The sequence below is a fragment of the Homo sapiens genome, chromosome 16 (assembly GCF_000001405.40).
Source record: "Homo sapiens chromosome 16, GRCh38.p14 Primary Assembly".
NCBI classification, from domain to species: domain Eukaryota; kingdom Metazoa; phylum Chordata; class Mammalia; order Primates; family Hominidae; genus Homo; species Homo sapiens.
The window spans coordinates 1,381,129-1,397,611 of record NC_000016.10 but is presented as its reverse complement, the minus strand read 5'-3'; the positions used below and the strand labels follow the sequence as shown (position 1 = coordinate 1,397,611).

At 57.1% G+C, this 16,483-nt stretch overlaps 1 protein-coding gene across 18 annotated transcripts in view; it reads left to right on the top strand.

Moving 5' to 3' along the window:
- Positions 1-16,483, top strand: part of UNKL (unk like zinc finger) — a 51,500-nt gene that overhangs the window by 17,093 nt on the left and 17,924 nt on the right. For 17 of the 18 annotated variants that reach the window (XR_007064900.1, XR_007064899.1, XR_007064898.1 and 14 more), the window contains 5 exons: positions 317-434; positions 3,397-3,481; positions 4,636-4,721; positions 6,918-6,980; positions 12,227-12,404. Coding sequence is in view for 10 of the 18 variants with exons in the window: in XM_047434489.1 (XP_047290445.1) it covers positions 317-434; positions 3,397-3,481; positions 4,636-4,721; positions 6,918-6,980; positions 12,227-12,404 (530 nt within the window). In the remaining 8 variants the exon portion in view is untranslated. The remainder of the gene's footprint in view (positions 1-316; positions 435-3,396; positions 3,482-4,635; positions 4,722-6,917; positions 6,981-12,226; positions 12,405-16,483) is intronic. The other variant, XM_011522613.2, reaches the window with a different exon arrangement.

Sequence of the window (16,483 nt, the reverse complement as noted above, 5' to 3'; positions counted from 1 at the left end):
GTCGGGGTGGGGGAGCCAAGTCCTCTGTGTCCCCCTGACACCTCCTCATCCCCAGGTCCATGCCCTGCCCCAGCGTGAAGCACGGGGGTCGGGGTGGGGGAGCCAAGTCCTCTGTGTCCTCCTGACACCTCCTCATCCCCAGGTCCACGCCCTGCCCCAGCGTGAAGCACGGGGGTGGGGGGCAGGGAGCCAAGTCCTCTGTGTCCTCCTGACACCTCCTCATCCCCAGGTCCACGCCCTGCCCCAGCGTGAAGCACGGGGGTGGGGGGCGGGGAGCCAAGTCCTCTGTGTCCCCCTGACACCTCCTCATCCCCAGGTCCACGCCCTGCCCCAGTGTGAAGCACGGGGATGAGTGGGGGGAACCCTCACGCTGCGATGGCGGCGACGGCTGCCAGTATTGCCACTCCCGCACGGAGCAGCAGTTCCATCCCGAGGTACGTCCCTCCAACCCCCCAGGCGTAGGGGTCGCTGGAAGGTCCCAGAGAAGCTGTGGGGTTCACAGCGTGGTTATCACACAGAAGGAACAGTGATTAACTTTGGCCGAGGGCTGGCACAGGTCGGGAAGCCTGGGGGTGGAGGCATGAGGGCTGTACCTGCTTGCTTGTCTTGCTTGCTGGCCTTCGGGCTGCCCTCAGCCAGCGAGTCTCTCCACTTGGCCTGTAACAGAAGAAAGAGTCATGTGGGAAAAAAGCAGAGAGAAAATGTCAATTAAAAACATACATATTCAGGTCTGGGTGCAGTAGCTCACGCCTGTAATCCCAGCACTTTGGGAGGCTGAGGCAGCTGGATAACGAGATCAAGAGATCAAGACCATCCTGGCAAAACCCCGTTTCTACTAAAAATGCAAAAAATCAGCCAGGCGTGGTGGCGGGCGTCTGTAGTCCCAGCTACTCAGGAGGCTGAGGCAGGAGAATGGCGTGAACCCAGGAGGCGGAGCTTGCAGTGAGCTGAGATCGTGCCACTGCACTCTGGCCTGGGCAACAGAGCAAGACTCTGCCTCAGGAAAAAAAAGAAAAAGAAAAAAATATATATATTCAGGCCAGGCACGGTGGCTCACACTGTAATCTCAGCACTTTGGGAGGCAGAGGCGGGCAAATCACTTGAGGTCAGGGGTTCGAAACCAGCCTGGTCAACATGTCTGTACTAAAAATACCAAAATTAGCTGGGTGTGGTGGTGCGCGCCTGTAGTCCTAGCTACTCGGGAGGCTGAGACGCGAGGAGCACTTGAACTTGGGAGGCTGAGACGTGAGGATCGCTTGAACCCGGGAGGCAGAGCTTAGAGTGAGCCGAGATCACGCCACTGCACTCCAGCTTGGAGGACAGAGCGAGACTCCATCTCAAGGAAAAAAAACAAAACAAAACACATGTTCAGGCCAGGCACGGTGGCTCACACTGTAATCCCAGCACTTTGGAAGGCTGAGGTGGGCACATCACTTGAGGTCAGGGGTTCGAAACCAGCCTGGTCAACATGGTGAAACCCTGTCTCTACTAAAAATACAAAAATTAGCCAGGTGTAGTGGTGCGCGCCTATAGTCTCAGCTACTTGGAGGCTGAGGCGCGAGGATCACTTGAACCTGGGAGGCTGAGGTTGCAGTGAGCCAAGAGTGCGCCACTGCACTCCAGCCTGGGGGATAGAGCAAGACTCTATCTAAAAAAAGTAAAATCCTCAGCCAAGGGGGAGGCGTGCAGGGGCTGGGAAGGACCAGGCGCTGCTTCCCGTCGTTTCTTGACTCATGTTGTCACAGACGCGCATCATGCTTTCTGGGTGTCGGTGACCACACACTCAATGGTGTCACCAGGGGCCTGTCGGGAGTCCGGTGTCCGGGGCGTTTTCTGTGTTCAGTCACGCAGGCCTGGTTGCAGACCCCAGTCTCTGGTACCCAGCTGAGTGGAGCTGGCACCACGTGGGCCACAGCCGCACCATAAATCCTGAGGGAGATAAACCCTCCCGCCTGGGCCCCGCCCCAGGTAAACAAGGACTCTTCCGAGGCAGGAGGTTCCTGGGGCGGAAGGGGCAGCCTGAGATGGAGCCAGGCCTGTGCCTCCACTAGAAGGTGCAGGGTATGGACGGTACAGGGAGGCTGTGTTCACACCCAGCCGTGTAGTTGCCAAGGGACCATACTCAGATTTGTATTAAAAACAAACAGGCCAGGCACAGTGGCTCACGCCTGTAATCCCAGCACTTTGGGAGGCCGAGGCAGGCAGATCACCTGAGGTCAGGAGTTCGAGACCAGCCTGGCCAACATGGTGAACCCGTCTCTACTAAAAATACAAAAATTAGCCAGGTTTGGTGGCTCATGGCTGTAGTCACAGCTACTCAGGAGGCTGAGGCAGGAGAATTGCTTGAATCCAGGAGGCAGAGGTTGCAGTGGGCCAAGATGGCACCATTGTACTCCAGCCTGGGCGACAGAGCCAGACTCTGGCTCAAAAAAAAAAAAAAAAAAAATGAACAGACCGGGCACGGTGGTTCACGCCTGTAATCCCGGCACTTTGTGGGGCCGAGGTCAGGAGTTTGAGACCAGCCTGGCCAACATGGCGAAACCCCATCTCTACTAAAACTACAAAAATTAGCCAGGTGTGGTGGCACATGCTTGTAATCCCAGCTACTTGGGAGGCTGAGGCAAGAGAATCACTTGAACTCGGGAGGTGGACGTTGCAGTGAGCCGAGATCTTGCGACTGCACTCCAGCCTGGGTGACAGAGCGAGACTCTCTCTCAAAAAACAAACAAAATGAACAAGCAAACGGGACCCCACCGGGTGCCCGACGTGGTGGAAGGGCCATGGGGGGGTGGGGCCAGGCCGGAGGTCAGGAGAGAGGCTTCCTGCTGGGACCCAGGCAGGTGTGGGCACTGGAGGCCTGGCGTGCCAGGTGCCGTGTCCTTTACGGAGAGCTACGGAGCAGGAGGGGCTGGGCCAGGCCTCCCAAGGCCGACTGGGGGCTTCCAGGCTGGTCTGTCCCTTGCCGGGTCTTAAGTGTTGTTGACCTCATGAGAGGGGCTGTCACCCTAGGTGAAGGGTCAGTGGGTCTGATCAGGGAACAGACACACGTGTTCCTTTTAATAGGCACTTATTAGGCACCTGCTGCATACCAGACTCTGAATTTGGTGCATCTTTCAGAAAATATCAAGCGGGGAAATGACTTTGCCTGTGATGGGAGGGCAGATGCTGCGGGAATGGCCCCACATGTGTGCGTGTTCCCTGTGGGTCGGCTCTGCAGAGAGGAGGGATGTGGGGACCAAGGGCACACGTGGAGGAGGGCAGGGCCCACGCCCCCCTTTTCAGGGGTGTCTTGTTACGATTTGGAGCTTAATCCTCTCCCTTGGGATGATGCCAGCTGTGGTCTTTCCACAGAATCCCATTTCCAATCCAACCTCTTTATTTCACTTTTTTCCCCAGATCTACAAATCTACAAAATGCAACGACATGCGCCAAACCGGGTACTGCCCGCGCGGCCCCTTCTGTGCCTTTGCACACGTTGAGAGTGAGTAACCGTCCCTGTGGCAGGTTCACCTTAGCAGGTTCCGCGGCTCTGCAGGCCCTCACTGGAGTTACCGATGACCCGGAGCTGCCCACGAGGACCTGGAAGGCGGGCAGGAGCTCAGCACCGTGGTTGGGGGCTGGGGGTCCCTGACATGCCCGTGGAGGCTCCCTGGGGTGTTTGTGCCATGTGAGGCTGGGCTCCCTCCACGCCGGCGTGGGCCAGGCCTGGTGGAATCTGCAGGGACCCTGTCTTCAGGCACGCTGGGGCCCTGAGCCTGGAGGCTGAGTCCTGGTGTGGGCTGGCTGGCACCTCCACCTGCCTCCTGGGCATCCAAGCTGGGTCCTTCTGCCACCCACTGCCTGGGCCTTGCTCCGAGACTGCCATCTTGCCAGGCACCCACCCAGGAGCACCACCTCCCTTGTGGAGAGAGGGGGTCTGTCCGCCCCAGCTCGGGGAGACAGCAGAGACCCTCAAGCAGGGTTGCTCAGGGTGACCCTGTGCTTTCCAGAGCCCGTTTGCTGTCCAGGGGATGAGGGCTTAGCTTTGGCGATTATGTGGTCCCTAATAAGTTCCCAGCAGCAGAAACAAGCCCCAGTGGGAACCCACGCGGCCTCCTCCACGCTGCAGTGGGTTTCCTTCTGGCAGCCCTGGGGTTTGGGTTCAGTGGGAACCCACGCGGCCTCCTCCACGCTGCAGTGGGTTTCCTGGCAGCCCTGGGGTTTGGACTCAGTGGGAACCCATGCGGCCTCCTCCACGCTGCAGTGGGTTTCCTCCTCGCAGCCCTGGGGTTTGGGTTCAGTGGGAACCCACACGGCCTCCTCCTCCCAGCCCTAGGATTTGGGTTCCAGGTTTTGTGTGTGTGGTCACAAGCTCAAATTTTCCTTTGTTTTTTATTTTAGTGGGGAGGGCAGCTATTCTTGTTCACGTTTTAAACATTGCTTTTAGTGTTAAAAACATGAAAAACTGGTCTAAGACCAGAGGGTCCTGTTGCCCTGAGTGTCCCCACCACTGCCCAGCCGTCCTCTGCCGCACCCCTGAGGGATGATTGTGACGAGGCTGCGCACACTCGGCCCTGACGTGTGGTGCGGAGACTTCTGCGTGTCACTGTCGCCCACCAGCGGCCCTCAGAGTCTGCTGCTCCCCTGTCCTTGCAGAGAGCCTGGGGATGGTGAATGAATGGGGCTGTCACGACCTCCACCTCACGAGTCCTTCCTCCACGGGCAGCGGCCAGCCGGGAAATGTAAGTGAACGGCCTTCCCAGGACAATGCCCAGTGTCCTTTGGTTTAATTGAACTCTTAGGGATGTGGATGGATATGAGTTTTCAGCAATGTGGTCGTGGGCAGTCTGTGGAGTTCGTGGCTCTTCTAGAAGAGTCTAGAAAAATCCTTGCCACTAGGCTGGGGGCAGTGGCTCACGCCTGTCATCCCAGCACTTTGGGAGGCTGAGGCGGGTGGATCACCTGAGGTCAGGAGTTCAAGACCAGCCTGGCCAACATGGTGAAACTCCATCTCTACTAAAAATACAAAAATTAACCAGGTGTGGTGGTGGGTGCCTGTAATCCCAGCTACTCAGGAGGCTGAGGCGGGAGAATCACTTGAACCCAGGAGACGGAGGTTGTGGTGAGGTGAGGTCCCGTCATTTCACTTCAGTCTGGGTGACAGAATAAGACCCCATCTCAAACAAAAAAAGAGGGGGGAAGAGGGGGTTGGGCTTCTAGGAAGGTAAGGCTATGGGGGAGACTGGCGGAAGGTAAGAGCAACTTCAGTGAGGTTGGTTATGCAGCCTCAATCTGCAGTCTCTCCTCCTGGTGTGGAGAGGGGAGAGGACACCTTCACAGAGGGAATTCACGCCCGGCTTCGAGGCAGGAAGGAAGCAGAGAGCTGCTCCTGCATCTACTGTTTCTCAGCTGCCTTCAACTCAAAATAATCTTTTTGTCAAAGAGTGGCATGTTTTGGGGTGGCACACTCTGACTCCCTTCATATATTTCTTAACAGTTTCACCTGAGCCTCTGCCTTAGGTGAATGGCTCGGTTTGGGGTTTGATGCCATGGTTGGTTCAGGGAGTGCAGAGCTGGCACCCTGCCTTCACACGGACCAACCCAAGGTCAGAGAGCCACGTTCAAATGTAAGAAATGGAACTCAGGGCCGGGCGCGGTGGCTCACGCCTGTAATCCCAGCACTTTGGGAGGCCAAGGCGGGTGGATCACCTGAGGTCAGGAGTTCGAGACCGGCCTGATGAACATGGTGAAACCCCATCTCTACTAAAAATACACAAATTAGCCGGGCGTGGTGGCGTGCGCCTGTAATCCCAGCTACTCCAGAGGCTGAGGCAGGAGAATTGCTTGAACCCGGGAGGTGGAGCTTGCAGTGAGCTGAGATCGCGCCACTGCACTCCAGCCTGGATGACAGAGTGAGACTTTGTCTCAGAAAAAAAATGAAAAGAAAAGAAATGGAACTCAGGAGAACCGACAGGGAGCCAGCAGGTTCAGGCATCTCTTCTGTTTCATGAGACCTTCGAGATTTGGCATCTTTGGCCAGTTGCAGTGGCTCACGCCTGTAAACCAGGCACTTTGGGAGGCTGAGGTGGGACAATCGCTCGAGGTCAGGAGTTCGAGACCCGCCTAGGCAACATAACAAGACCCTGTCTCTACAGAAAGCTTTGAAAAATTAACTGGGTCCACTGGCAAATGCCTGTGCTCACAGCTTCTTGGGAGGCTGAGACAGGAGGATTGCTTTAGCCAGGGAGGTCATGCCACTGCACTCCAGCCTGGGAGACAGAGCGAGATCCTGTCTCAAAACAAAACAAAACCAAAAATAGCATTCGTCTAAATTCTGAGCAGAGCTTATGTGTGTGTGTGTGTGTGTGTGTGTGTGTGTGTGTGTGTGTGTGTATCTTTAAGGGACCAAGAGTACTGCTGAATAGGTACATATATATTGTGTGTGTGTGTGTGTGTGTGTGTGTGTGTGTGTATTTTTTTTTGGAGACAGAGTCTCACTCTATCACCCAGCCTGCAGTGCGGTGGTATGACCTTGGCTCACTGCAGCCTCCACCTCCTGGGTTCAAGCGATATCCTTTTTTAAATTTTTTATTCTATTTTTTGAGACGGAGTTTCACTCTTGTTGCCCAGGCTGGAGTGCAATGGTGCCATCTCGGCTCACTGCAACCTCCACCTCCTGGGTTCAAGCGATTTTCTTGCCTCAGCCTCTCGAGGAGCTGAAACTACAGGCATGTGCCACCACGCCTGGCTATTTTTTGTGTTTTTAGTAGAGACAGGTTTTCACCATGTTGGCCAGGCTGGTCTCGAACTCCTGAGCTCAGATGATCCGCCCGCCTCAGCCTCCCAAAGTGCTGCCACTGTGCCCAGCCTGAATTGTATGTTTTTAATTTACATTTCCTCCCTGCTTTTTCCACATATGACTGTTTTTTATGTTGCAGGCCAAGCGGAGAGACTCGCCGGCCGAGGGTGGCCCTAGGGGCAGCGAGCAAGACAGCAAGCAGGTACAGGCCCCCAAGGTTTCCCACCCTCGTGCCTGATGTCGCGTTAGGGCTGAGGCTTCCCGCCCTCGTGCCTGACCCGTGGCATCGCGTTAGGGCAGCGCTCATGCATCCTTGGTCCCGCCCACTCTCGGCTCGCAAAGCCATCTGGTTGACGTCCGCTTGTTGTAGAATTAGCTCTTTCCTGGTACCCCCGTGTTTGTCTGTTTGAAACGTTCGTGTTATACCTTGGAAACAAAGCCACAACATCGTGCTCGGGGAAATAAGAGGGGCCCTTTGGAGCCCATCTGTGTTACTTTTTTGGGCTGCGAGGGAAGGATGCAGATGGGGCCGTTCCAACAGCAGAACTTGCCGGGCACGGTGGCTCACACCTGTAATCTCAGCACTTTGAGAGGCCAAGGTGGGCGGATCACGAGGTCAGGAGTCCGGGACCAGCCTGGCCAACATGGTGAAACCCCATCTGTACTAAAAATACAAAATATTAGCCAGGCATGGTGGCACGTGCCTGTAGTCCCAGCTACTCGGGAAGCTGAGGCAGGAGAATTGCTTGAAGCCGGGAGGTGGAGATTGCAGTGAGCCGAGATCGTGCCACTGCACTGCATCCTGGGTGACACTGTGAGACTCTGTCTCTGAATGAATGAATGAATGAATGAATGAGGTAGTTTTAGTTGGGCACAGTAGCTCACACCTGTGGTTCCAGTACTTTGGGAGGCTGAGGCAAGAGAATTGCTGGAGCCCAGGAGGTGGAGGTTGCAGTGAGCCAAGCACTCCAGCCTGGGCGACAGAGTGAGGCCCTGTCTCAAACCAAACCAAAACCAATCCCCAAGCAGCAGCACTTGACTCTCTCAGTTCTGGGGGCTGAGTCCGAGCTTGAGCTGTCCAGAGCTGGCTCCTGAGGCCCCCCGGGTGCAGATGCTGCCTCCTCCGTGTCCTCTGGGGTCACCCCTCTGTGCGTGGGCATCCCTGGGGTCTCTTCCTGAGGACAGTGGCTGCGTAGGGCCCTGCCCCCACACCTCATTTCATTGTTGCTGTTGTGTTTTTACAGATTCTTAAATTTTTTGAGGCAGGGTCTGGCTGTGTCACCCAGGTGTAGTGCAGTGGCCAAGTCCCAGCTCACTGCAGCCCGGGACTCCCAGGCTTGAAGCAGTCCTCCCACTTCAGCCTTCTGAGTTGCTGGGACCCCAGGCATACACCACCAGGCTTGGCTAATTTTTGTATTTTTTTAGAAATGGGGTTGCCCAGCCTGTTCTCGAACTCCTAGGCTCAAGCAATCCTCCTGCTTTGACCTCCCAAAGTGTTGGGATTACAGGTGTGAGCCTCCACGCCTGGAGTAAGAACTCATTTCACCTTAATTACTCCTCACAGGCCCTATCTCCAAATTTAGTCACACCGGGGGTCAAGGCTTCCACGTAGGAATTTGGGGGGGACACGTTTGGTCCATAACAAAGACACTGTGCTGACTGAAATGAGCCAGTTACCGAAAGGCAAAACCTGCGTGATTCCACTCACAGGAGGTCTCTAGTGGAGTCACATTCACAGACAGCAGGTGGCATGGTGGGGGCCGGGGCCGGGGCCGGGGGAGGGGGCAAGTGTTCACGGGGTCAGAGCTTCCGGCTGGAAGATGAGGAGTTCTGGAGGTGGACGCGGTGATGGCTGCACAGCGGTGTGGATGGAATTCATGCCACGTACTACACCAAACCATGGCCACTGTAGCAAATTTTATATTATATTTCACTATAATACAGAGAAGAAAAACCAGGCAGGCAGTGCTGGTGGTAGCTTGGGGTGTGCTGTCCCCACGGGGCGAACGGTGCTGGTGTTAGCGGAGGTGCGGTGTCCTCATGGTGTGAACGGTGCTGGTGGTAGCGGAGGTGTGGCGTCCCCACGGGGAGAACGGTGCCGGTGTTAGTGAAGGTGCGGGATCCTCACGGAGCTCTCGTCTGACCCCTCTCACTGTGCCCATCCCTCATGTGGATGGACTCCCACACCAGGCCCGTCATCTGTGGCCATTGTGCCTTGGGGTACAAGGAGTGACATGGATGTTGATGATTTTCAGGTGATCGTTTGGGCTGAAGTCACAGTGTGCGCATCACCCTGGCCAGCTCCCGGGCAGGGTCAGCATGGGGTCTGGGGGGTCACTCAGGGCTGAGGCTTCCTCTCTGGTCCCTGTTGGTTTATGGCCTCCAGTAGGCTGGGGAAGGCCTCCGGGGTGGAGTCCCCTCCTGCAGACAGGCGGGAAGGAGGCGGCCTTGGCTTCTGAGGGTGCTGCATTCACCCTGGGCCGGGCAGCGCTTTGGGAGCCTGAGGCTGCCTGTCCCAGCCGAGGGTCAGCCCGTGCCCAGCCCTCAGATCAGTGCTGCTTTGGGGGCAAACGTGGCACCTGCACTGTGGTGCCTCCTGGCTTTCTGCATTCTTGGGCTCTATGCAGACACAGGTGCGGGGCACAGACTCCCTGTCCGACCCAGGGCGGGGCAGGCCTGCTCTGCAAACCCCAGCGTCGTCCACGGCTTCTTGGTGGGCCCGGGGCCCTTCCAGGCAACAGTCCCTCAGCTCTCCCTTACATGGGAGGTGGCCTCTGGGCCTGGGTGATGCTCTGGAGTTGGGTTCAGGCAAGGACTGAGACGCCCACAGGGGTCATGGAGCTGAGAGGACATCCACAGGGGTGACTGTGACCCGGGCGGTGGCCTCTAGGCTACTGGTGGGTCAGGACATGGGGAACCTCAGCCTGACTGAGCAGGGGCAGCTTGTGTGTAGGGACCGTGCCCCAGAGCACGGACCTGGGCAGACCCCGGGACACAGGGTGGGCTGCCAAGAGATGGGATGAGGCGGGGGTGGGGGAGGGCTTCCGCAGGCCGGGCAGCCGTGCGGCGGTGCAGTGTCCACGTCCCCGGAGGGCCGGGCAGCCGTGCGGCTGTGCAGTGTCCACGTCCCCGGAGGGCCGTGCGTTGCCATCCTGAGCTTTTGGTTCTGAGTGATAGCTGCTGGATGCGGTGAGCTCAGCAGACCGCCCCACGTCACTCACCCCTTGCTGGTGCCTGCCTCCTCAGCCCCACAGCCCAGGTGGCCCTGTCCTTTGCTGGTAGAGAAGGTCGGCTCCCTCCCCGATCCAAGCCATCGGGGTACAAGGAGCTCCCAGGTGTGCGTTGCTCCTGGATGTCTGGTCACCAGAACGTCTGTCAAGAGGTCCTTCTCAGCCTTCCTGGGGCCACACTGAGGGTCTGAAGCAGGGACAGGAAGTGCAAGGGATAGGGGGCGGGTTGCCACTGAGATGGCACCAGGTCTCGAATCACCCATAGTGTTTCTGGGCTGCTTGCTGGAGAACATGAGGCTTCCAGCAACCCTGTCACCAGGCTCACCATGGGGGATTGATAGGGGGTATTGGCAGCACCATGCATGGCTGGGAGTGTCCCCGGTGTTGCATGGCTGGGAGTGTCCCCGGTGTTGCATGGCTGGGAGGGTCCCCGGTGCTGCATGGCTGGGAGGGTCCCCGGTGCTGCATGGCTGGGAGGGTCCCCGGTGCTGCATTGCTGGGAGGGTCCCCGGTGCTGCATGGCTGGGAGGGTCTGCGGTGTAGGGTGCAGGAGTTACCGCCGTCCCTGATGCTCACGGGGTGGACTGTGGTCCGTTTTTTCATGGCTTGAGGAAAAGTGGTCTCTGGGCCAGGGAGAGGAAGTGGATTATGGACGAGGGGGCAGGCCCCTTCTCGCACCTGGGCAGGGAGCTCTGGTGGCTGTCTCCAGACTTTGCAGCTGGAGGGGACTGTTTTCAGAGTCAGTCACGGGGGGCTCTGTGCACCTCCTGGGCCGTGGGCTGAGGGGCAAATCTGGTATCCAGAAGGAAGCCAGGGCAGGCAGCAGGACCCTTAGGTCACAGAAGCCAGGAGCCAGGCGCGTTCTTGTCGGGGATTTCTGATCTTTAGGAAATGCACATTAAAATTTCTTCATTATGGACAGTTTTACTTAAGGAGACAAACTAGTAAAATCACACCTCCCAAGGTTAACTTTTTCTGCATTACTTTGCAGCAAAACCCAGATATCATACCATTTGAATTGTAATATTTCAGGATGCAATTCATTTTTTTTGGAAACAGAGTCTCTCTGTTGCCTGGGCTGCAGTGCATTGGTGCGATCTCGGCTCACCACAACCACTGCCTCCCGGATTCAAGCAATTCTCCTACCTCAGCCTCCCAAGTAGCTGGGATTACAGGCGCCCACCACCACGCCCGGCTAATTTTTTGTATTTTTAGTAGAGATGGGGTTTCTCCATGTTGGGCAGCCTGGTCTCGAACTCCTGATCTCAGGTGATCTGCCCACCTCGGCCTCCCAAAGTGCTGCGATTACAGGTGTGAGCCACCGCGCCCGGCCTTGGCTAATTTTTTTTGTATTTTTAGTAGAGACAGGGTTTCGCCATGTTGGCCAGGCTGGTCTCGAACTCCTGACCTCCAGTAATCTGCCCACCTTGGCCTCCCAAAGTGCTGGGATTACAGGCATGAGCCACTGTGCCCAGCCAGAAACTCATTCTAATCCAGCTTTTGATGCTTGGTTTTGCAGTGACCTCGTAGGTGGCTCTGGGTCTTTTGTGTCGGGTGTTTTCTTGTGAGCAGCACCCTCCCCGTTACTGGGTTTTTATTCAGCACTGCTCTGTGTGTTGCTCTTTTTCTTTTGATCTATTATCCACCAAATACAGATCATGTGAATTGCCCTGTGTTTTACTTTCCCTGGTGACGAGGTCACAGGACCACGCTATGGATGTTTTGGAAGTGGTGCTGGATCTCTTTTTAAGTCCCTGGGAGGACATTTCTCTGGGGGCCCCCCAAGGTGCTCAGGAGCCAGTCCTGGGCGAGAGCCGGGGCGGGGGCACCCAGGAGGTGTGGGGAGAAGGGCAGGCAGGCTGCACGGCTTGCCCCTCGGGCTGGCGGGCTCCTGGCCGCTGACACATCTTTCTGCACGTGCCAGATTGATTTTTACTGGCAAATGTCTACTCCTGAAACGTTTTCTGCAGAAAAGCTCACGAGACACTCCCCAGAGGTGTCTGTGCCTGTCCCAAGTGCACCGTAGCCCGCTGCCCTGCCGTCCTGGTGTTTCTCCTCGGTGCGGTCAGAGTCCCTCCGGGTCTGGGAAGCTCTCCCTGGGCCTCGCCAGGGCGTAGAAGTTGGCCGCCGTCCCGCGGTGCTTTCTGCAGGGTGCCGACGTGGCGCTGCCTCCTCCACGCAGGGGGTGCGCGCTCACGGTGTTTATGTCTTTGAACAGAACCACCTGGCCGTGTTTGCAGCGGTCCACCCGCCGGCCCCCAGCGTGAGCTCCAGCGTGGCGTCCAGCCTGGCGTCCAGCGCCGGCTCCGGCAGCTCCTCCCCCACTGCGCTGCCCGCGCCCCCCGCCCGTGCCCTCCCGCTCGGCCCCGCCAGCAGCACTGTGGAGGCCGTCCTCGGTAAGTCCAGCACCGTCCTCCTTTCTCCCTGACCTCCTTCTGTGTTCATGCTGTAGCTTTTCAGGGACAGCGCTTCTATTTCAGGACATGTTACAGAATCGTCATTTTTGTAGAGAAGCCAGACGCGTATTTTCAGTCATCTGTCACTTTGGTTGTGTTGCACGTGTGGTTGTGGAAACAAGCCCTGACTCAGAGAGGCTCCTGGCCTGGGTGCCGCAGGCGCTGGGGACGAGGAGCCTCCCAGGAGCCAGGCAGAGCAGGCGCCGTCCGGCTCAGGGACTGAGAACGGGGAGGTTGTTGACAGATGATGGGAGTTGTGGGAGTTGGCCGCCTGTGCTCCCAGCGCTGTGGGAGGCCGAGGCAGGAGGATCACTTGAGCCCAGAAGTTGAAGACCAGCCTGGGCAACATAGTGAGACCCCGACTCTACTAAAAATAAAATAATTAGCCAAGCATGGTGGTGCGCACCTGTGGTCCCAGCTACTTGGGAGGCTGAGGTGGGAGGATCCCTTGAACCCAGGAGGTCGAGGCTGCAGTGAGCTGTGATTACACCACTGTACTCCAGCCTGGGTGAGAGAGTGAGACCATCTCAAAAAAAAAATTGAAAGTAGGGGTTGTGGGCCAGTGAGGGCACTGAGGGTGGGGGACAGTGATGGGGTGGGGAGTCCAGTGAAGGCTTGGAGTCGGGGGCACAGCTGTGAGCACCTGGGCTGGCAGCTTTGGGAGGCCTTTAGTTGGAGGGAGTCACTGGGCACTGAGACACGTGATGGTGCTGGGCTGTGGGGACCCGTGGGGGCCTGGCTGGGAGCCCAGACCCTGGGGGGCAGATTCTTCCAGAAGCCCGGAGTGGGCAGCAGGCAGAGCTGGGGGCAAGACAGTGCCAGGAGCTGGGCTGTGTGTGTCCTTGGTCCCTTTCAGCCCCTGGGGAAAGGCCGTGTTGGGGTGGTGGGGACACCTGCCGTGTTGGGGTGGTGGGGGACACCCACCGTGTTGGGGTGGTGGGGGACACCTGGCCACACCCGTGCAGGGCTTTGCTTGCAGAGACGCTTGGTGAGTGATGGGATGTGCTGAAGCCCCATGTTCCATGGCCACCAGCGCCCAAGGGACCCAAACCTGCCTCTCTGTCCTGACAGTGACAGTGAGGGACTCAGGGAAGGCCACCTGTGGTGGTCTCCAAGTTCTCTGTCCCTGGGCTGGGGTGGAATGGGATGGGGTTGGGGGTACAGTGAGGCCGGGCCCTGCTCAGCTCAGCCCGGGTCTGGCCTCTGCTGCTGCAGCCCTGGAGCCCACCCCTTCCTCTCCTACATCCTCTGCTGTGCAGGGTGTGGCGGGGGAGCTGGGCATGGGATCAGGAGGACAGGGCTGCTGGAGCCACGTGGTGGGGGCCCTCGCTGCAGTCCCTGCCTGGACACACTCTGGGGACTTGGAGTGGGACCCCAGCACCATCAGGACCCGCGTCAATGTGGGCGGCGGCCCGGCGGCCAGACCCGCAATGACTCTTGCCCGAGAGCCGCAGCTTCTGGTCGTTGGTGGTTGCCCCACACGGAACTGCTCAGGCCCAGCTGCAAGCCCCCAGCAACTCCTAGACGATGCCGGCCAAGGAGGCCGAGGAGAGAGAGACTCTTCCCAGCGGCCACTTAGGCCACAGACCACACATCGGCAGGACACTAGACCAGTCCCATCCTGAGTGGTGTCTGCGAGGAAAGCCAGGTGCAGCTCCTGAGGCCCCAGGACGGTCCTCAGTCCCCCAAGCACCCAGGGCCCCGCTCTCAGCACCTCTGCAACCAGGTGCATCTTCTGGGCACAGCTCTTGGCCTGTGTTGCTGCTGGGCCGTCCCATCCCTGCATCTGCTTGGGGTTGAGCCCAGGCCTTTACATTTTTCTTTTGTGTGTGTGTGGGTTTTGTTTTGTTTTGATTTTGTTTTTTTTTTTTTTTTGAGACGGAGTTTCTCTCTTGTTGCCCAGGCTGGAGTGCAGTGGCGTGATCTTGGCTCACTGCAACCTCTGCCTCCCGACTTCACGCCAATCTCCTGTCTCAGCCTCCAGAGTAGCTGGGATTACAGGCACCTGCCACTACGCCCGGCTAATTTTTTTTTTTTTTTTTTTGTATTTTTAGTAGAGATCGGGTTTTACCATATTGGCCAGCCTGGTCTTGATCTCCTGACCTCGTGATCTGCCCGCCTGGGCCTCCCAAAGTGCTGGGGTTGCAGGTGTGAGCCACTGTGCCCGGCATGTGTGTGTGTGTTTTTTTTGAGACAGAGTCTCGCTCTGTCACCCAGACTGGAGGGCAGTGGCACAATCTTGGCTCACTGCAACCTCCACCTCCTGGGTTCAAGTGATTCTCCTGCCTCAGCCTCCTGAGTAGCTGGGACTATAGGCGCCTGCCACCACACCTGGCCGTTTTTTGTGTTTTTAGTAGAGATGAGGTTTCACCACGTTGGCCAGGCTGGTCTTGAACTCCCAACCTCAGGTGATCCTCCCAACTCGGCCTCCCAAAGTGCTGGGATTACAGGTGTGAACCATTGTGCCCGACCTGCATTTTTTAAAGGGTCTCTTTCACAAATACTGGGAACTTTTGTGGCCGTGTGCATCTCCCCCTCGCAGCCCTGGTGTTCCTATGTGGGCTCTGTTGTGCACCTGCCGGAGAACCCTCCAGAATCCAGGGCCAGTCCCTCCCTCAGGAGGCCATGGGGAGAGTGGGAATCCTGGATGGACCCAGCGCCCAGTGGTGGGGCTTGGTCGGGGCGGGGGCAGGGGCACAGGCGCAAGCAGTGTTTGCGTTTGTTTCGTCCTCACTGGCTGGGAGTATGGGGCTGCCCTGCCCAGGGAAGGGCTCCTCATTTCTGCCTTGCCATGGAGGGCTCACCTGGTTTCAGGACAGGACTCAAACTTCCGCCCTCCGGCCTGTTTTGGAAGTCATCTTCTCTCGGAGCCTCTATGGAGGAGGAAGCATGTGGTGTGGGATGTCTCCTGTTAGGGCTTCACCGTAAAGGGTAGGTTTTTAAAACTGTGAATACTCCATGGGTGGGAGTGCTGTGTGCTGTGTTAAGCTTTCTCTCAGGCAGAAACAAGCCCACATGTGTTTTCAGTTTGAAACTAGGGCGTACATGTTGTTCCTCTTGAACAGAGAGGTCTCATGAGTTGAATATGCTGGGGTGCCCACCCCCATCCCATTCCATCCCAGCCCAGGGACAGAGCACTTGGAGATCACCACAGGTGACGGCCTTCCCTGAGTTTGTTTTTGTTCATTTTGGGGTTTTATTTTTTAAGACAGGGTCTTGCCCTGTCACCCAGGCAGGAGTGCAGTGGTACAGTCAGCTCGCTGCAGCCTCCAACTCCTGTGCTCCAGAGATGCTTCTGCATCAGCCTCTCAAGTAGAGCTGAGACCACAGGCAGGCACCACCGGGCCCGGTGAGAACATGCTAGTTTTAATTTGAGATCACTATCATACATGGGTTGCATAATCCAGGGCCCTGGATCTTACTAAATCACACCCTCAAATTCACACATCCCCTTCAGAAACTCAGAGGTCAGGGATGAAGTCTACACAGTGGCTAAAGCTCCATGAGGGTCTGGCCTCTGAGCAGGTTCTTTTTTTTTCTTGCTCTGTTGTGCAGGCTGGAGTGCAATGGCACAATCTTGCCTCACTGCCACCTCTGCCTTCCGGGTTCAAGCGATTCTCCCTCCTCAGCCTCCGGAGTAGCTGGGATTACAGGTGTGTGCCATCATGCCCGGCTAATTTTTGTATTTTTAATAGAGACGGGGTTTTGCCATGTTGGCCAGGCTGGTCTCAAACTCCTGACCTCAGGTGATCCGCCCACCTCAGCCTCCCAAGATGCTGGGATTACAGGCGTGAGCCACCACACCCGGTCACTTATTTTTTTCTTTTAAACAAATAAGCACACATTCTTTTTAAATAAAGTTTCTCTTCCCCAACCTAAAAGTAGTAATGCTAGAATTTGAGCATAGCAGAAAAATATTTAGGAAAATTAAATCCCAAACAAGAGAGACCATCTTGGACTGTGCTCACTCGGGTGGAAAGTCGACCCAGGTGCCTGTGTGCTTGACAGAGGCGTGGCTG